Genomic DNA, 20,153 nt, shown 5'->3' with positions numbered 1-20,153 from the left:
CAAATGTTTGTCATTTTGTCTTTTATTCTTTTGTCCCCTTTTGATTTGCCTGAGTGGAGCACTTGTGATTGTTCTAGGTCTTTCCTTAAATTGGCTTCAGTAATGACCTTCACTGGGGAGTGGCAGTGATACACGCATGCCTCCTGACTCCAGTTTCTGGCTTCTGCAGTTCTCCTCAACTGCTCAAGTGCCTTTTAGTTCCTTTAGTGTTTGTCTTAATTGATTTTTTTAAAGTAGTTTTATGTTCACAGAAGGATTAAGCTGACGGTACAGACAGTTCCCATATAACCCCTTCCCCCCGTATGCATACCTTTCCCTCTATCAACATCCCAACCAGAGTTGGCATACTGTTTTCACCCAAAGTCCATAGTTTATACTAGGGGCCACTCCCGGTGGTGTACATTTTATGGCCTTTGACAAATGTATAAAGACCTGGATCTGGCAGGGCGTGGTGGCTCTCGCCTATAATCCCAGCATTTTGGGAGGCTCAGGTGGGTGTATCGCTTGAGTTCGAGAACAGCCTGGGCAACATGGCGAAACCCCATCTCTACATAAAAATACAAAAATTAGCCAGGCATGATGGTGCATGCCTGTAGTCTCAGCTACTTGGGAGGCTGAGATGGGAGGATCACTTGAGCCCAGGAGGTCGAGGCTACAGTGAGTCGTGATCGCGCCACCACACTTCAGCCTGGGTGACAGCAAAATCCTGTCTCAAAAAGACGAGGACGCACCATGATCCAGAGTAGTTTCACTGCTCCAGGGATCCTCCGTGTCCCACTGTTCATTCCTCCTTAGCCCCAGTCCCTCACCGCTGAGCCTTTTACTGTCTGCAAAGTTTTGCCTTTTCCAAAGTATCATATAGTTGAGATTAGATAGTAGGTAGCCTTTTTTAGATTGGCTTCATTCACTTAGTAATGTGCATTTAAGGTTCACCCGTGTCTTTTCATGACTTGATAGCTTGTTTCTTTTTAGTGATAAATAATTCCATTGTCTGGCTGTACCACAGTTTATCCATTCAACTGCTGAAGAACATCTTGGTTGCTTTCAAGTTTTGACAATTACAAATGAAGCTGCTGTAAACATCCCTTTGCAGGTTTTTGTGTGGACATAAGGCCTCAACTCCTTTGGGTAAGTACAGGAAGCACGATTGGTGGATTGTATGGTAAGAGTATGTCTAGTTTTGTAAGAAATTGCCAAACTGTCTGGATCACCTGAGGTCAGGAGTTTGAGACCAGCCTGGCCAACATGGTGAAACCCTGTCTCTACTAAAAATACAAAAATCAGCCAGGCATGGTGGCTCACGCCTGCAGTCCCAGCTAAACGGGAGGCTGAGGTGGGAGGATTGCTTGAACGCAGGAGGCAAAGGTTCCAGTGAGCTGAGATCATCGTGCCACTGCACTCCTAGCCTGGGTGACAGAGTGAGTGAGACTCTGTCTCAAAAAAAAAAAAAAAAAAAAAAAAACTGAGAAAAGGAAAAGAAATTGCCAAACTTTCTTCCAAAGTGTCTGTACCATTTTGTACTCCCACCAGCAATGAATGAGTTCCTGATGCTCCACATCCTTGCCAGCATTTGGTGTTGTCAGTGTTCTGGATTTAAGCCATTCTAATAGGTGTGTATATAGCCATTTATTTTTTTAATACTCATAAAGTTTTTAAATTGTGGTTAAAAAAATGTACCATCATAACAGTCACAGTACAGTTTAGTGGGAAATGTGTTCAGATTGTTGTGCAACCAATCTCCAGAATTTTTCATTTTATACAACGGAAGCTTTACCCATTAAACTGCCCCCCTGCAGGCTGGCCCTGCCCCTGGAGCTTTCCATTTCTGTTTCTAGGGTACAAGCAGCCCTCGATACCCACAGGCTCCGCATCCACAAATTCAACCACACATCAAAGATAACTTGAGAAAGTATAACAACTAAAAATACAAATAAGAGCAGTACAGTATAGCAACTATTTATGTAGCATTTACACTGTATTAGGCATTACAAATAATCTAGAGATGATTTAAAGTATACAGGAGCATTTGCATAGGTATACTATGCCATTTTACATAAGGAACCTGAGCATCCTTGGGTTTTGGTATTTACCGGGGGTCCTGGCACCAATCCCCTCCAGGATACCCAGACACAACTATTCCACTGCCCATAACCCCGTCCCCTTGCAGCTGTGGAAACGCAGAGGTGCTGCTCTGAGGGCAGACAGACCCCACCACTCAGCACTCTTGAGTCGGACCCAGCAGAAACCCATCCCATGGGAGGAGCTGGGAATTGGAGGGTCTCTCCCAGTAGCATTGCTATGCCTGGCAGGGGGAAGGGCAAGAACAAGCAAAATGCTCCAACTTGACTACCCTTCCCAGTGCAGTCCCTCCCTGGCTCTGCACTAGCTGGCATTGCAGCATCCTAACTAGTTTCTAGAATTCTCACGATGTTTTGGTCTCCTATAGCTTTAACATTGAGCTCTCTAGGAGAACGAGAGCCCGCAGTTTCCTAGTCTACCACTTGCTGACATATTTTCACACCATCTCACTTGGCAACGTCCATAGGGCCTGCCAGGGCACAGTGCACTTTTTACCATGACACAGCAGTACCACTGTTCAGGGAAGGCAGGTTGGATCTGTTTCCTAAAAATAATAAATCCCAGAAACATCTATACTGACCATTAATAGAATGTAATGTCCAAACAGTATAGAATAGTAGCTCAGCATACACATTGGATGTGGACTCCTAACACCGCTGTGTGACTTGAACCTTGTTATGTGATCTCTGAGCCTCAGTCTCTGTGCCTTGGGGACCATAAAACCACCTCCTTAGGGGGCTGTGGGAGGATTAATGAGCTAGAGCACACAGTCTGACCAGCAGTTTCTGGCACATAAGTGCCCGATCAATGGAAGCCACAGGTGCACAATGATTGGAAAAGGCCACAGGCATTGTTATTAAATGTTTTCCTCATGCTGCCATATCTTGAATTACAGGCCTCTGGCTGGTAAGGAGGGCACTCGGGAGGACACTGCCCACATTGCAGGCATGCCTGTCCCTGCCCTTCACACCCCCATCATGATTCATGATGACTGCTTGGGGAGGGCCTGACACCTCAAAAGGCCAAGAGTGCATACAGGTAATGTATAAAGGGCCACCATGTAACAAGCACCCAGACCATCCTGCTGTCCCTGCACCTTGATTCTCTCACAGTCCCAAATAGAACAGTGCTGCCATGTAGGACAGGAACATTCATTCAGCTGAGGCCAGTTTGGGAGACCACAAGCCAGATCTGAGAAGTCCCCAGATAGGCATGGGTCTTGCTCTCTCTGTCAGTTGAGTAGCTTCAAAACTTCTGTTGGGCCAGGTGGCTCATGCCTCTATTTCCAACACTTTGGGAGGCCAAGGCAGGAGGATCACTTGAAGCCAGGAGTTCCAGACCAGCGTGGGCAACATAGTGAGGACCCATCTCAACAAAAAAATTAGCCGAGCGTAATGATGTGCACCTGTAGTTCCAGCTACTCAGGACGCTAAAATAGGATCTCTTGATTGAGCACAGGAGTTTGAGTGAGCTATGATCACAGCTCTGCACTCCAGCCTGGGCAACAGAGCAAGATCTTGTCTCTAAAAAATATATATATATTTTTAAATTTTAAATAAACTGTTCTCCCTGCCTTTTGTTCCCCAGATCCAGTCTTCATCCAGACCTGAAAAGACCCAGGCTCCAGCTGCTGGCCTCCTGCTGCCCCTCAGGCCACCTGCACAGGAAATTCCAGGGGTGGGTTGGTCCCACTGCCAGTGCCGTGGCCTACAGTGCTAGGCAGCCCCTCAGTCAGCTAGACAAAGTTCTCCATGAATCCTTCCCAGAAAGTCCTGTTCCAGCCTGGGACAACGTCCCCATGGACCCTCATGGCACTGCTGGCTTGTCATGTCAGCTATGTTACCTTCCTACTCCCCGTGGTCATCATTACGTTGGGGCATTGACTCACAGCCTTACCACCATGCTCCCAGTACACAGCCCAGCACCCAGTACAATCCATACCTCCAACTTGGGTGGAGCTCCCATGCCAGGCCACCTCTCGCCCACCACCCTAATCTGGGTAGGCAACTAGAGCGAGCAGGGGCAAGGACCTCTGCAGCAGCCCATACCCGCCCTGGCCTGACCCTGCACCCACTGGCAGCACAGTCAACACAGCAGGTTGGCTCACAGCAGAAGGCAAAGGCCATCATCAGCTCCCTTTATAAGGGAACGGTCATGCACTGGGTGTGCTGAGAGTGTCCTGCCTGGTCCTCTGTGCCTGGTGGGGTGGAGGTGCCAGGTGTGTCCAGAGGAGCCCAATGGGCAGTGAGGCAGCCATGGGGCTGGATGCACTGGTGCCCCTGGCAGTGACAGTGGCCATCTTCCTGCTCCTGGTGGACCTGATGCAGCAGCACCAACGCTGGACTGCACGCTACCCGCCAGGCCCCCTGCCACTGCCCGGGCTGGGCAACTTGCTGCATGTGGACTTCCAGAACATATACACCTTCAACCAGGTGAGGGAGGAGGTCCTGAGGATCCCCCACCACCAGCAAACATGGGTGGTGGGTGGAGCCACAGTCTGGACAAGAAGCCAGGCTGAGAAGGGGAAGCAGATTTGAGGGACTTCCTGGGGGAGGGCATTTATGCATGGCATGAAAGATGGGATTTTCCAAAGGCCAAGGAAGAGTAGGGCAAGGGCCTGGAGGTGGAGCTGGACTTGGCAGTGGGCGTGCAAGCCCATTGGGCAGCATATGTTAGGAGCACAAAGTCCCCTCTGCTGACACCAGAAGGAAAGGCCTTGGGAATGGAAGACGAGTCAGGGTCCTGTGTGCCGTTTAAATCAGGAAATCAGGCTGTGCGTGGTGGCTCACGCCTATAATCCCAGCACTTAAGGAAGCCAAGGTGGGCGGATCACCTGAGGTCAGGGGTTCCAGATGAGTCTGGCCAACATGGCAAAAACCGGTCTCTACTAAACATACAAAAAATGAGCTGGGCACAGTGGTGCACGCCTGCAATCCCAGCTACTTGGGAGGCTGAGGCAGGAGAATTGCTTGAACTTAGGAGGCAGAGGTTGTAGTGAGTGGAGATTGTGCCATTGCCTTGCAACCTCGGTGACACAGCCAGACAATGTCTAAATAAACGAATAAGAAATCAGGCCGGGCGCGGTGGCTCACGCCTGTAATCCCGGCCCTTTGGGAGGCTAAGGCGGGCGGATCATGAGGTTAGGAGATCGAGACCATCCTGGCTAACACAATGAAACCCGTCTCTACTAAAGATACAAACCAATTAGCCAGGCGAGGTGGTGGGCACCTGTAGTCCCAGCTACTTGGGAGGCTGAGGCAGGAGAATGGCATGAACCCATGAGGCAGAGCTTGAAGTGAGCTGAGAACACACCATTACACTCCAGTCTGGGCGACAGAGCGAGACTCTGTCTCAAAAAAAAAAAAAAAAAAAAAAAAAAAAAAAATCAACGGCTGGGCGCGGTGGCTCACACCTGTAATCCCAGCATCTTGGGAGACCAAGGTGGGGGGATCACAAGGTCAGGAGTTCGAGACCAGCCTGGCCAACATGGTGAAACCCTGCCTCTACTAAAAATACAAAAATTAGCGGGGCACGGTGGTGGGCACCTGTAATCCCAGCTACATGGGAGGCTGAGGCAGGTGAATTGCTTGAACCCGGGAGGTGGAGGTTGCAGTGAGCCAAGATCGCGCCATTGCGCTCCAGCCTGGGTGACAGAGCCAGACATGGTCTAAATAAATGAGTAAGTTAGAAATCAAGGATGAAGGGATATAGTGGACCCGGTTCAAACCTTTTGCACTGTGGGTCCTCGGGCCTCACTGCTCACCGGCATGGACCATCATCTGGGAATGGGATGCTAACTGGGGCCTCTCGGCAATTTTGGTGACTCTTGCAAGGTCATACCTGGGTGACGCATCCAAACTGAGTTCCTCCATCACAGAAGGTGTGACCCCATCCCCGCCCCAGGATCGGGAGGCTGGGTCTCCTCCTTCCACCTGCTCACTCCTGGTAGCCCCGAGGGTCGTCTAAGGTTCAAATAGGACTAGGACCTGCAGTCTGGGGGGACCCTGGCCTGATGGAGGCCCTGACCCAACGGAGGCCCTGACCCTCCCTCTACAGCTGCGGCACCGCTTTGGGGACGTGTTCAGCCTGCAGCTGGCCTGGATGCCGGTGGTCGTGCTCAATGGGCTGGCGGCCGTGCGTGAGGCTCTGGTGACCTGCGGCGAGGACACCGCCGACCGCCCGCCTGCGCCCATCTACCAGGTCCTGGGCATCGGGCCGCGCTCCCAAGGCAAGCGGCGGTGGGGGACAGAGACTGCGTTTCCGTGGGTCCTGGGTGGGCGGTGACCGTAGCCCAAGCTGGGCTGAGAGGGCGCGGGGTTGTGGGCCAGTGAGTGGGTTGGGGACAGCGAGCCAGGAAACCACTTCCATTGGGGAGGTGCGAGTCTGTGGGCGGGAGGAAGAGGGGCTTGTGAGTGGGCGGGGCAACTGCCGAGACCCACCAGGAACCGGGTGGGCGGAGCTGGCGCCTTTCCCAGCTGGAAGCGGGTGTCTAGAAGCCGGGATGGACTCTGCTGTGGGCTCAGTATGGGCGGGGCGGGACGGGCGGGATCTTCCCTGAGTGGAAAGGCAGTCAGGGTCGGAAGAGCCAAGGTGGGGCCAAGACCCAAGCAAGGTGAGTGAGCAAAGAGCAGGCCCTGTGCCCAGCTGGACAGGGCCAGGGACTGCGGGAGACCAGGAAAAGCACAGGGTTGGAGTGGGCGGCGGAGGGCGGGGCCAAGGCCTCCATGACCACGCCCATGTGTCCGTCCCGCCCCCAGGGGTGTTTCTGGCACACTACGGACACGCGTGGCGCGAGCAGAGGCGCTTCTCCGTGTCCACCTTGCGCAACTTGGGCCTGGGCAAGAAGTCCCTGGAGCGGTGGGTGACCGAGGAGGCCGCCTGCCTCTGTGCCGCCTTCGCCGACCAAGCCAGTGGGTGATGGGCAGAGGGGCACAAAGCGGGAACTGGGAAGGTGGAGGACTGGGAAGGCGACCCCTGACCCGCATCTCCCGCCCCCAGGACGCCCCTTTCACCCCAACGGCCTCCTGAACAAAGCGGCGAGCAACGTGATCGCCTCCCTCACCTGCGGGTGCCGCTTCGAGTACGACGACCCTCGCTTCCTCAGGCTACTGGACCTAGCTCAGAAGGGATTGAAGGAGGAGCTGGGCTTTCTGTGAGAGATGTGGAGCGAGGGACCGCAGGGTCTCTGCAGGGCGAGCTCCTGAGAGGTGCCGGGACTGCAGCCGGACCTCCAAGGAGCAGGGTTTGCATAGAGTGGTTTGGGAAAGGACATTCCAGAAGAGCTCACTGCTAGAGGAAGGGCCTTGAGGAGGAGGAGACATCTCAGATACGGTCGTGGGAGAGGTGTGCCCGGGTCAGGGGGCACCAAGAAAGGCCAAGGACCCTGTGCCTCCTGTCCACATTGGAGATTTTGATTTTTAGGTTTCTCCTCTGGCAGCCCAGGGCAAGGAGAGAGGGTGGAGGCTGGCACTTGGGGAGGGACTTGGGGAGGTGAGTGGTGGGGACAGGTAGGCCCTGGGTCTTCCCTGGAGGCAGCTGGGGCCTGAGACTGGTCCAGGTGAACGCAGAGCACAGGAGGGATTGAGACCCCGTTCTGTGTCAGCTGTAGATGCTGAATGTTGTCCCCCTCCTCCTGCGCATCCCAGGGCTGGCTGGCAAGGTCCTACGCTCCCAAAAGGCTTTCCTGACCCAGCTGGATGAGCTGCTGACCGAGCACAGAATGATCTGGGACCCAGCCTAGCCACCCCGAGACCTGACTGAGGCCTTCCTGGCAGAGAAGGAGAAGGTGAGAGTGGCTGACACGGTAGGGACCAGGGGTGGTGGGTTGAGCGTCCGGGAGGAATGAGGCAGGCAAAAGGTGGGTCCATTGGATCACTTGGCAAGTGGCACCTGGGCTGACAGGTGCAGAATGTGGAGGTCATTTGGGGGCTTTCCCGTTCTGTCCCCTGAGTACCCTCTCAGCCCTGCTCAGGCCAAGGGGAACCCTGAGAGCAGCTTCAATGATGAGAACCTGCGCATGGTGGTGGCTGACCTGTTCTTTGCCGGGATGGTGACCACCTCGATCACGCTGGCCTGGGGCCTCCTGCTCATGATCCTACGCCCGGATGTGCAGCGTGAGCCCAGCTGGGGCCCAGTGCAGGGGGCAAGGGAGGAAGGGTACAGGTGGGGGCCCCTGAGCTTAGCTGGGACACCCGGGACTCCAAGCACAGGCTTGGCCAGGTTCCTGTAAGCCTAACCTCCTCCAACACAGGAGGCAGGAGAGTGTCAGGGCTGGTCCCCTGGGTGCTGACCCATTGTGGGGACGCGTGTCTGTCCAGGCCGTGTCCAACAGATCGACAACGTGATAGGGCAGGTGTGGTGACCAGAGATGGGTGACCAGGCTCGCATGCCCTGCACCACTGCCGTGATTCACGAGGTGCAGCGCTTTGGGGACATCGTCCCCCTGGGTGTGACCCATATGACATCCCGTGACATCGAAGTACAGGGCTTCCGCATCCCTAAGGTAGGCCTGGCACCCTCCTCACCCCAGCTCAGCACCAGCCCCTGGTGATAGCCCCAGCATGGCCACTGCCAGGTGGGCCCAGTCTAGGAACCCTGGCCACCCAGTCCTCAATGCCACCACATCGACTGTCCCAGCCTGGGTGTGGGGTGCAGAGTATAGGCAGGGCTGGCCTGTCCATCCAGAGCCCCAGTCTAGTGGGGAAGGCAGACCAGGACCTGCCAGAATGTTGGAGGACCCCAATACCTGTAGGGAGAGGGGGTAGCGTGGGCGCTCCCAGGAGGTGTGACTGCGCCCTGCCATGGGGTCGGAGAGGGTGCTCTGGAGCTTCTCGGGCACAGGACTAGTTGACAGAGTCCAGCTGTGTGCCAGGCAGTGTGTGTCCCCTGTGTGCTTGGGGGTCCCAGCATCCTAGAGTCCAGTCCCCACTCTCACCCTGCATCTCCTGCCCAGGGGATGATGCTCTTCACCAACCTGTCATCGGTGCTGAAGGATGAGGCCGTCTGGGAGAAGCCCTTCCGCTTCCACCCCGAACACTTCCTGGATGCCCAGGGCCACTTTGTGAAGCTGGAGGCCTTCCTGCCTTTCTCAGCAGGTGCCTGTGGGGAGCCCGGCTCCCTGTCCCCTTCCGTGGAGTCTTGCAGGGGTATCACCCGGGAGCCAGGCTCACTGACGCCCCTCCCCTCCCCACAGGCCGCCGTGCATGCCTCGGGGAGCCCCTGGCCCGCATAGAGCTCTTCCTCTTCTTCACCTCCCTGCTGCAGCACTTCAGCTTCTCGGTGCCCACCGGACAGCCCCGGCCCAGCCACTCTCGTGTCGTCGGCTTTCTGGTGACGCCATCCCCCTATGAGCTTTGTGCTGTGCCCCGCTAGAGTTGCTCCTCAGCTGGGACCCTGTTGTACAATAAATTAGTCTAGTGGCTCCCACTTGGTTTCTGTATCCAGTCTGGGCCCCTGCCAAGGTCCTGGTTGTGTTGGGTCGTCAGTCACCTGCCTGATGTCAGTGCTCACCCCTCACCCCTCACCCCTCACCTCATTCATTCATTTTTTTTTTTTTTTTTTTGAGATGGAGCCTACTCTGTCACCCAGGCTGGAGTGCAGTGGTGCAATCTCAGCTCACTGCAACCTCCGCCTCCAGAGTTCAAGCGATTCTCGTGCCTCAGCTTCCTGAGTAGCTGGGATTACAGGCACCGGGTACCACCCCCGGCTCATTTTTGTCTTTTTAGTAGTGATGGGTTTCGCCATGTTGGCCAGTCTGGTTTCAAACTCCTGACTTCACGTGACCACCAGCCTCAGCCTCCCAAAGTGCTGGGATTACAGGCGTGAGCCACCGAGACCAGCCTCACCTCATTCACTCTTACCTGGACGCCTGACTTTACTTGAGATACAGGCATAGTGATTCTCAGCAGGAAACAGCCTGCCCCCACGTCACGCCCAGAGACCCATCACTGGCTGCCTGGCTTGGTGACAAAGTCCATGCGTAAGTCTTGGCTGGGGTGGATATGAATAGGCATATGCCAAGAATCAACCCATTCCCTGGCTAGGGTGGGAGACTGTGTTGTGCTCCCCCAGACCACCCTCAGGTTCAGTGATTTCTAGAAGGTCTCACAGCCCTAGAAAAGCTGTTATTCTCCCTGTTAACAGTTTATTACAGAGAAGGGTACAGATTAAAGTCAGCAAAGATGAAAGGCACAGGGACCAGAGTCCAGAATGACCAGGCCAAGGCTGCAGCTCTCTTTTCTGGTGGACTCCTACAGGCAGTGCTTAATTCTCCCCCAACAGTAAGTGAGGCAGCAGAGAGCCCTGCCAGCCACGGAAGCTCACCTGGGCCTTGGTGTCCATGGTTTTTGTTGGGAGTTGGTCATCCTAGGCTTGAGCCCCCGCAGCATGGCTGACCTCAGTTACTCAGTCTCCAGCCCCTCCTGAAGTCAGATGGATACAGGCCTGACGGCCCCACCCTCGATCACATTGTTGGCATAAACTGTGTTGTACGGTCCAAGGCCCTAGCTATGTACAAAGACACTATTTCAGGCAGGACATTCCAAGGCCTTAGCAGATATCTCCCAGCCTCCTGTCAAGAGTCAGTTTGGACTCTTGGTCCAGTGGCTTGCATTGTGCAAGGAATGACTTCCCCACTTTTTACTACACAGGCCACCCCTCTTGGCTCTAACAGCAAAATGATATTAGTTTGAGCATCTGTGTGTGTGTGTGTGTGTGTGTGTGTGTGTGTGTTTTCTTGAGACAGGGTCTTGCTCTGTCACCGAGGCTGGAGTGCAGTGATGCCATCAGGGCTCACTGCAGCCTTGACTTCCTGGGTTCAAGCAATCCTCCCATCTCAGCCTCCCTAGTAGCTGGGACTGCAGGCACATGCCACCATGCTTTGCTAATTTTTGTATTTTTTGTAGAGACGGAGTTTCACCATGTTGGCCAGGCTGCTTTCGAACTCCCTATCTCAGGTCATCTGACTGCCTCAGCCCCCCAGAGTGCTGGGATTACAGGTGTAAGCTACTGTGCCCAGCCAAATTTCCTTCCTAATTTCTTCATTGAACCACTGGCCATTCCGGACCATATTGTTTAATTTTCACGTGTATGTATAGTTTCCAGAATTCCTCTTGTTGTTGATTTCCACTTTTATTCTGTTGTGGTCAGAGAAGATGCTTGATATTATTTTAACATTTGTAATGTTTTAAGACTTGCTTTGTGACCTAACATATGGTGTATCCTTGAGAATGATCCATGTGCTGAGGAGAAGAATGTGTATTCTGCAGACTTTAGACGAAGTGTTCTGTAAGTATCTAGTAGGTCCATTTCTTTTGTAGTGCAGATTAAGTCTAATGTTTTCTTATTGGGTTTCCATCTGGGACACCCGTCCAATGCTGAATGTGGGGTGTTGACGTCTTTAGCTGTTATTGCGTTAACGTCTCTCTTGGGCTCCAATAACATTTGCTTTACGTGCTCCAGTGTTGTGTGCATATGTATTTACAATTGTTATATTCTGTTGCTGGATGACCTTCTTTGTCTCCTCTTACAGTTTTTTTGGTTGTTGTTGTTTGTTTGTTTTGTTTTGGAGACGGAGTCTCGCTCTGTCACCCAGGCTGGAGTGCAGTGGCGCGATCTTGGCTCACTGCAAGCTTCGCCTCCCAGGTTGACGCCATTCTCCTGCCTCAGCCTCCTGAGTAGCTGGGACTACAGGCGCCCGCCACCACGCCTGGCTAATTTTTTGTATTTTTAGTAGAGACGGGGTTTCACCATGTTAGCCAGGATAGTCTCAATCTCCTGACCTCGTGATCCGCCCGTCTTGGCCTCCCAAAGTGCTGGGATTACAGGCGTGAGCCACCACACCCGGCCTCCTCTTACAGTTTTTGTTTTAAAATCTGTTCTGTCTAAGTATTGCTACTCCTGCTCTTTTTTGTTTTCCATTGGCATGGAGTATCTTTTTCCATCCCTTTATTTTCAGTCCATGTGTATCTTTACAGGTGAAGTGTGTTTCTTCTAGACAAAAGAGCATTGAGCTTTGCTTTTTCATCCATTCAGCCACTCTGTGTCTTTGTATTGGAGAGTTTAGTCCATTTACATTCAATGTTATTATTGCTAAGCAGGGACTTACTCCTGCTATTTTGTTATTTCTTTTCTCACTGTTTTGTGGTCTTCTCTTTTTTTTTTTTTTTTTTTTTTTTTTCCTTGTCTTCCTTTTAATGAAGGTGATTTTCTCTGGTGGTATGATTTAATTTCTTGCTTTTTTGTGTGTGTGTATCCATTGTGTGTTTTTTCTTCTTTTCTTTTTGAGACACAGTCTCACTTATTGTGTGCTTTTTGATTTGAGGTTGCCGTGAGGCTTGCAAATATTATCTTATAACTCATTATTTTAAACGGATGACAACACTGATTGTGTAAACAAACATAAAGCAAAAGGAAGACTAATAAAAACTCTACACTTTAAGTTCATCTTAGTGCTTTTTAACTTTTTGTTGTTTCTCTTTTTTTGTTTTTGAGATAAAGTCTTGCTCTGTTGCCCAGGCTAGAGTGCAGTGGCACGATCTCAGCTCACTGTAACCTCCACTTCCCAGGTTCAACCGATTCTCCTGCCTCAGCCTCCTGGGTAGCAGGCGCCCACCACCATGCCCAGCTAAATTTTTTGTATTTTTAGTAGAGATGGGGTTTCACCATGTTGGCCAGGCTTGTCTCGAACTCCTGCCCTCAGGTGATCCACCCACCTCAGCCTTACAAAGTGCTGGGATTACCTGCGTGAGCCACCGGGTCCGGCCTCTTTATGTCTTACTGTACTGTCTGTCTTGAAAAGTACTTATTATTTTTGATTGGTTCATCATTTAGTCTAATTAAAATAAGAGTAGTTTACACACCACAATTACAGTATTATAATACTCTGTTTTTCTGTGTGCTTACTATTACCAGTGAGTTTTGTACCTTTAGATGATTTCTTCTTGCTCATTAATATCCTTTTTTTTTTCAGATTGAAAAACTCCCTTTAGCATTTCTTGTGGGATATAGGTCTGGTGTTGATGAAATCTCGCAGCTTTTGTTTGTCTGGGAAGGTCTTTATTTCTCCTTCCTGTTGGAAGGATATTTTTGCCAGATACGTTATTCTAGGCTAAAAGTTTTTTTTCCTTCAGCACTTTAAATATGTCATGCCACTCCCCCCTGGCCTGTAAGGTTTCCACTGGAAAGGTGGCTGCCCCATGTCATGTATTGGAGCTCTACTGCATGTTATTTGTTTCTTTTCTCTTGCTGCTTTTAGGATCCTTTCTTTATCCTTGACCTTTCGGAGTTTAATTATCAGATGCCTTGAGGTCGTCTTCTTTGGGTTAAATCTGCTTGGTGTTCTATAAACTTCTTGTACAAAAAATCAGCCAGGCATGGTGGTGGGCACCTGTAATCCCAGCTACTTGGGAGGCTGAGGCAGGAGAATCGCTTGAACCCTGGAGGTGGAGGTTGCAGTGAGCCGAGATCGCATCATTGCACTCCCACCTGGGCGACAGAGCAAAACTCCGTCTCAAAAAAAAAATTATTTGGGCTCGGTGGTGCCTGTAGTCCCAGCTACTTGGGAGGCAGGAGGTCCACTTGATGTTGAGATTGCAGTGAGCCATGATCCTGCCACTGCACTCCGGCCCGGGCAACAGAGTGAGACCCTGTCTAAAGAAAAAATAAAAATAAAAAAGCAACATATCCTAAATAAAGGATCCTCCATAATGTTTCCACCAGATTTCTAATCAGAAACATGGAGGCCAGGAAGCAGTGGAGAATGACGACCCTCAGGCAGCCCTGGAGGATGCTGTCACAGGCTGGGGCAACGGCCTTCAGGCTACCAACTGGGAGCTCTGGGAACAGCCCTGTTGCAAACAGGAAGTCATGGCCCGGCCAGAGCCCAGAATGTGGGCTGAGCTGGGATCCATGTGACAGCTTTGAGGCTCACCGGGAGCAGCCTCTGGACAGGAGAGGTCCCATCCAGGAAACCTCGGGCATGGCTGGGAAGTGGGGTACTTGGTGCCGGGTCTGTATGTGTGTGTGACTGGTGTGTGTGAGAGAGAATGTGTGCCCTGAGTGTCAGTGTGAGTCTGTGTATGTGTGAATATTGTCTTTGTGTGGGTGATTTTCTGCATGTGTAATCGTGTCCCTGCAAGTGTGAACAAGTGGACAAGTGTCTGGGAGTGGACAAGAGATCTGTGCACCATCAGGTGTGTGCATAGCGTCTGTGCATGTCAAGAGTGCAAGGTGAAGTGAAGGGACCAGGCCCATGATGCCACTCATCATCAGGAGCTCTAAGGCCCCAGGTAAGTGCCAGTGACAGATAAGGGTGCTGAAGGTCACTCTGGAGTGGGCAGGTGGGGGTAGGGAAAGGGCAAGGTCATGTTCTGGAGGAGGGGTTGTGACTACATTAGGGTGTATGAGCCTAGCTGGGAGGTGGATGGCCGGGTCCACTGAGACCCTGGTTATCCCAGAAGCCTGTGTGGGCTTGGGGAGCTTGGAGTGGGGAGAGGGGGTGACTTCTCCGACCAGGCCTTTCTACCACCCTACCCTGGGTAAGGGCCTGGAGCAGGAAGCAGCGGCAAGGACCTCTGGAGCAGCCCATACCTGCCCTGGCCTGACTCTGCCACTGGCAGCACAGTCAACACAGCAGGTTCACTCACAGCAGAGGGCGAAGGCCATCATCAGCTCCCTTTATAAGGGAAGGGTCACGCGCTCGGTGTGCCGAGAGTGTCCTGCCTGGTCCTCTGTGCCTGGTGGGGTGGGGGTGCCAGGTGTGTCCAGAGGAGCCCAGTTGGTAGTGAGGCAGCCATGGGGCTAGAAGCACTGGTGCCCCTGGCCATGATAGTGGCCATCTTCCTGCTCCTGGTGGACCTGATGCACCGGCACCAACGCTGGGCTGCACGCTACCCGCCAGGTCCCCTGCCACTGCCCGGGCTGGGCAACCTTGCTGCATGTGGACTTCCAGAACACACCATACTGCTTCGACCAGGTGAGGGAGGAGGTCCTGGAGGGCGGCAGAGGTCCTGAGGATGCCCCACCACCAGCAAACATGGGTGGTGGGTTAAACCACAGGCTGGATCAGAAGCCAGGCTGAGAAGGGGAAGCAGGTTTGGGGGACGTCCTGGGGAAGGACATTTATACATGGCATGAAGGACTGGATTTTCCAAAGGCCAAGGAAGAGTAGGGCAAGGGCCTGGAGGTGGAGCTGGACTTGGCAGTGGGCATGCAAGCCCATTGGGCAACATATGTTATGGAGTACAAAGTCCCTTCTGCTGACACCAGAAGGAAAGGCCTTGGGAATGGAAGATGAGTTAGTCCTGAGTGCCGTTTAAATCACGAAATCGAGGATGAAGGGGGTGCAGTGACCCGGTTCAAACCTTTTGCACTGTGGGTCCTCGGGCCTCACTGCTCACCGGCATGGACCATCATCTGGGAATGGGATGCTAACTGGGGCCTCTCGGCAATTTTGGTGACTCTTGCAAGGTCATACCTGGGTGACGCATCCAAACTGAGTTCCTCCATCACAGAAGGTGTGACCCCCACCCCCGCCCCACGATCAGGAGGCTGGGTCTCCTCCTTCCACCTGCTCACTCCTGGTAGCCCCGGGGGTCGTCCAAGGTTCAAATAGGACTAGGACCTGTAGTCTGGGGTGATCCTGGCTTGACAAGAGGCCCTGACCCTCCCTCTGCAGTTGCGGCGCCGCTTCGGGGACGTGTTCAGCCTGCAGCTGGCCTGGACGCCGGTGGTCGTGCTCAATGGGCTGGCGGCCGTGCGCGAGGCGATGGTGACCCGCGGCGAGGACACGGCCGACCGCCCGCCTGCGCCCATCTACCAGGTCCTGGGCTTCGGGCCGCGTTCCCAAGGCAAGCGGCGGTGGGGGACAGAGACCGCGTTTCCGTGGGCCCCGGGTGGACAGTGACCGTAGCCCAAGCAGCGCCGACAGGGCGTGGGGTCCTGGACGTGAAACAGAGATAAAGGCCAGCGAGTGGGCTGAGGACAGTGGGCCAGGAAACCACCTGCACGGGGGAGGTGCGAGTCTGTGGGCTGGGAGGGGGCGGGGCTACTGCCCAGACCCGCCAGAAGCCCGGTGGGCGAGGCTGATGCGTCGAAGTGGCGGTGGCGGGGACCGCGCCTATGCTGCGGGCTCAGTGTGGGCGGGACGGGCGGGATCTTCCTTGAGTGGAAAGGTGGTCAGGGTGGGCAGAGACGAGGTGGGGCCAAACCCCGCCCCAGGCAGGGGAGCAATGTGGGTGAGCAAAGAGTGGGCCCTGTGCCCAGCTGGACCGGGCTAGGGACTGCGGGAGACCTTGTGGAGCGCCAGGGTTGGAGTGGGTGGCGGAGGGTGGGGCCAAGGCCTTCATGGCAACGCCCACGTGCCCGTCCCGCCCCCAGGGGTGATCCTGTCGCGCTATGGGCCCGCGTGGCGCGAGCAGAGGCGCTTCTCCGTGTCCACCTTGCGCAACTTGGGCCTGGGCAAGAAGTCGCTGGAGCAGTGGGTGACCGAGGAGGCCGCCTGCCTTTGTGCCGCCTTCGCCGACCAAGCCGGTGGGTGATGGGCAGAAGGGCACAAAGCGGGAACTGGGAAGGCGGGGGACGGAGAAGGCAACCCCTTACCCGCATCTCCCACCCCCAGGACGCCCCTTTCGCCCCAACGGCCTCTTGGACAAAGCCGTGAGCAACGTGATCGCCTCCCTCACCTGCGGGCGCCGCTTCGAGTACGACGACCCTCGCTTCCTCAGGCTGCTGGACCTAGCTCAGGAGGGACTGAAGGAGGAGTCGGGCTTCCTGCGCGAGGTGCGGAGCGAGAGACCGAGGAGTCTCTGCAGGGCGAGCTCCTGAGAGGTGCCGGGGCTGGACTGGGGCCTCCGAAGGGCAGGATTTGCATAGATGGGTTTGGGAAAGGACATTCCAGGAGACCCCACTGTAAGAAGGGCCTGGAGGAGGAGGGGACATCTCAGACATGGTCGTGGGAGAGGTGTGCCCGGGTCAGGGGGCACCAGGAGAGGCCAAGGACTCTGTACCCCCGTCCACGTTGGAGATTTCGATTTTAGGTTTCTCCTCTGGGCAAGGAGAGAGAGGGTGGAGGCTGGCACTTGGGGAGGGACTTGGTGAGGTCAGTGGTAAGGACAGGCAGGCCCTGGGTCTTCCTGGAGATGGCTGGGGCCTGAGACTGGTCCAGGTGAACGCAGAGCACAGGAGGGATTGAGACCCCGTTCTGTCTGGTGTAGGTGCTGAATGCTGTCCCCGTCCTCCCGCACATCCCAGCGCTGGCTGGCAAGGTCCTACGCTTCCAAAAGGCTTTCCTGACCCAGCTGGATGAGCTGCTAACTGAGCACAGGATGACCTGGGACCCAGCCCAGCCACCCCGAGACCTGACTGAGGCCTTCCTGGCAAAGAAGGAGAAGGTGAGAGTGGCTGCCACGGTGGGGGGCAAGGGTGGTGGGTTGAACGTCCCAGGAGGAATGAGGGGAGGCTGGGCAAAAGGTTGGACCAGTGCATCACCCGGCGAGCCGCATCTGGGCTGACAGGTGCAGAATTGGAGGTCATTTGGGGGCTACCCCGTTCTATCCCCTGAGTATCCTCTCGGCCCTGCTCAGGCCAAGGGGAGCCCTGAGAGCAGCTTCAATGATGAGAACCTGCGCATAGTGGTGGGTAACCTGTTCCTTGCCGGGATGGTGACCACCTCGACCACGCTGGCCTGGGGCCTCCTGCTCATGATCCTACACCTGGATGTGCAGCGTGAGCCCAGCTGGGGCCCAAGGCAGGGACTGAGGGAGGAAGGGTACAGCTGGGGGCCCCTGGGCTTAGCTGGGACACCCGGGGCTTCCAGCACAGGCGTGGCCAGGCTCCTGTAAGCCTAACTTCCTCCAACACAGGAGGAAGGAGAGTGTCCCCTGGGTGCTGACCCATTGTGGGGACGCATGTCTGTCCAGTCCGTGTCCAACAGGAGATCGACGACGTGATAGGGCAGGTGCGGCGACCAGAGATGGGTGACCAGGCTCACATGCCCTGCACCACTGCCGTGATTCACGAGGTGCAGCACTTTGGGGACATCGTCCCCCTGGGTGTGACCCATATGACATCCCGTGACATCGAAGTACAGGGCTTCCGCATCCCTAAGGTAGGCCTGGCGCCCTCCTCACCCCAGCTCAGCACCAGCCCCTGGTGATAGCCCCAGCATGGCTACTGCCAGGTGGGCCCACTCTAGGAACCCTGGCCACCTAGTCCTCAATGCCACCACACTGACTGTCCCCGCTTGGATGGGGGGTCCAGAGTATAGGCAGGGCTGGCCTGTCCATCCAGAGCCCCCGTCTAGTGGGGAAGACAAATCAGGACCTGCCAGAATGTTGGAGGACCCAGCGCCTGCAGGGAGAGGGGGCAGTGTGGGTGCCTCTGAGAGGTGTGACTGCGCCCTGCTGTGGGGTCGGAGAGGGTACTGTGGAGCTTCTCGGGCGCAGGACTAGTTGACAGAGTCCAGCTGTGTGCCAGGCAGTGTGTGTCCCCCGTGTGTTTGGTGGCAGGGGTCCCAGCATCCTAGAGTCCAGTCCCCACTCTCACCCTGCATCTCCTGCCCAGGGAACGACACTCATCACCAACCTGTCATCGGTGCTGAAGGATGAGGCCGTCTGGAAGAAGCCCTTCCGCTTCCACCCCGAACACTTCCTGGATGCCCAGGGCCACTTTGTGAAGCCGGAGGCCTTCCTGCCTTTCTCAGCAGGTGCCTGTGGGGAGCCCGGCTCCCTGTCCCCTTCCGTGGAGTCTTGCAGGGGTATCACCCAGGAGCCAGGCTCACTGACGCCCCTCCCCTCCCCACAGGCCGCCGTGCATGCCTCGGGGAGCCCCTGGCCCGCATGGAGCTCTTCCTCTTCTTCACCTCCCTGCTGCAGCACTTCAGCTTCTCCGTGGCCGCCGGACAGCCCCGGCCCAGCCACTCTCGTGTCGTCAGCTTTCTGGTGACCCCATCCCCCTACGAGCTTTGTGCTGTGCCCCGCTAGAATGGGGTACCTAGTCCCCAGCCTGCTCCCTAGCCAGAGGCTCTAATGTACAATAAAGCAATGTGGTAGTTCCAACTTGGGTCCCCTGCTCACGCCCTCGTTGGGATCATCCTCCTCAGGGCAACCCCACCCCTGCCTCATTCCTGCTTACCCCACCGCCTGGCCGCATTTGAGACGGGTACGTTGAGGCTGAGCAGATGTCAGTTACCCTTGCCCATAATCCCATGTCCCCCACTGACCCAACTCTGACTGCCCAGATTGGTGACAAGGACTACATTGTCCTGGCATGTGGGGAAGGGGCCAGAATGGGCTGACTAGAGGTGTCAGTCAGCCCTGGATGTGGTGGAGAGGGCAGGACTCAGCCTGGAGGCCCATATTTCAGGCCTAACTCAGCCCACCCCACATCAGGGACAGCAGTCCTGCCAGCACCATCACAACAGTCACCTCCCTTCATATATGACACCCCAAAATGGAAGACAAATCATGTCAGGGAGCTATATGCCAGGGCTACCTCCCAGGGCTCAGTCGGCAGGTGCCAGAACATTCCCTGGGAAGGCCCCAGGAAAACCCAGGACCGAGCCACCGCCCTCAGCCTGTCACCTTGTGTCCAAAATTGGTGGGTTCTTGGTCTCACTGACTTCAAGAATGAAGCCGTGGACCCTCACGGTGAGTGTTACAGTTCTTAAAGATGGTGTGTTCAGAGTTTGTTCCTTCTGATGTTAAGACGTGTTCAGAGTTTCTTCCTTCTGGTGGGTGCGTGGTCTTGCTGGCTTCAGGAGTGAAGCTGCAGACCTTCACAGTGAGTGTTACGGCTCTTAAGGCTGCACGTACGGAGTTGTTCATTCTTCCTGGTGGGTTTGTGGTCTCACTGGCCTCAGGAGTGAAACTGCAGTCCTTCCAGTGTTACAACTCATAAAGGCAGTGTGGACCCAATGAGGGAGCAGCAGCAGCAAGACTTACTGCAAACAGCAAAAGAATGATGGCAACCAGGTTGCCGCTGCTACTTCAGGCAGCCTGCTTTTATTCCCTTATCTGACCCCCACCCACATCCTGCTGATTGGCCCATTTTACAGACAGTGGATTGGTCCACTTACA

The 20,153-nt window shown here is 54.8% G+C and overlaps 1 long non-coding RNA gene and 2 pseudogenes across 3 annotated transcripts; all 3 read left to right on the top strand.

Moving 5' to 3' along the window:
• CYP2D8P (ccytochrome P450 family 2 subfamily D member 8, pseudogene) lies at window positions 4,320-9,453 on the top strand (annotated as a pseudogene).
• On the top strand, window positions 9,836-13,884 carry LOC105377203 (uncharacterized). Its single transcript, XR_938280.2, has 3 exons — window positions 9,836-10,057; window positions 10,983-11,364; window positions 13,798-13,884. It is a non-coding gene; the product is annotated as an uncharacterized LOC105377203 (long non-coding RNA).
• A 968-nt stretch (window positions 13,885-14,852) lies between these two features.
• CYP2D7 (cytochrome P450 family 2 subfamily D member 7 (gene/pseudogene)) lies at window positions 14,853-19,760 on the top strand (annotated as a pseudogene). Of its 2 annotated transcripts, none has more exons than NR_002570.6 (9): window positions 14,853-15,052; window positions 15,755-15,926; window positions 16,456-16,608; window positions 16,697-16,857; window positions 17,292-17,468; window positions 17,661-17,802; window positions 17,997-18,184; window positions 18,640-18,781; window positions 18,880-19,760. The product of NR_002570.6 is annotated as a cytochrome P450 family 2 subfamily D member 7 (gene/pseudogene), transcript variant 1 (transcript). The 2 variants fall into 2 exon arrangements; NR_145674.3 differs by having other exon boundaries at window positions 17,940-18,184.
• Window positions 19,761-20,153: the final 393 nt, after the last annotated feature.

Source organism: Homo sapiens, chromosome 22, assembly GCF_000001405.40.
Source record: "Homo sapiens chromosome 22, GRCh38.p14 Primary Assembly".
Lineage (NCBI taxonomy): Eukaryota > Metazoa > Chordata > Mammalia > Primates > Hominidae > Homo > Homo sapiens.
The sequence above is the reverse complement of the archived record's forward strand: the minus strand, read 5'-3'. Positions and strand labels throughout refer to the sequence as shown.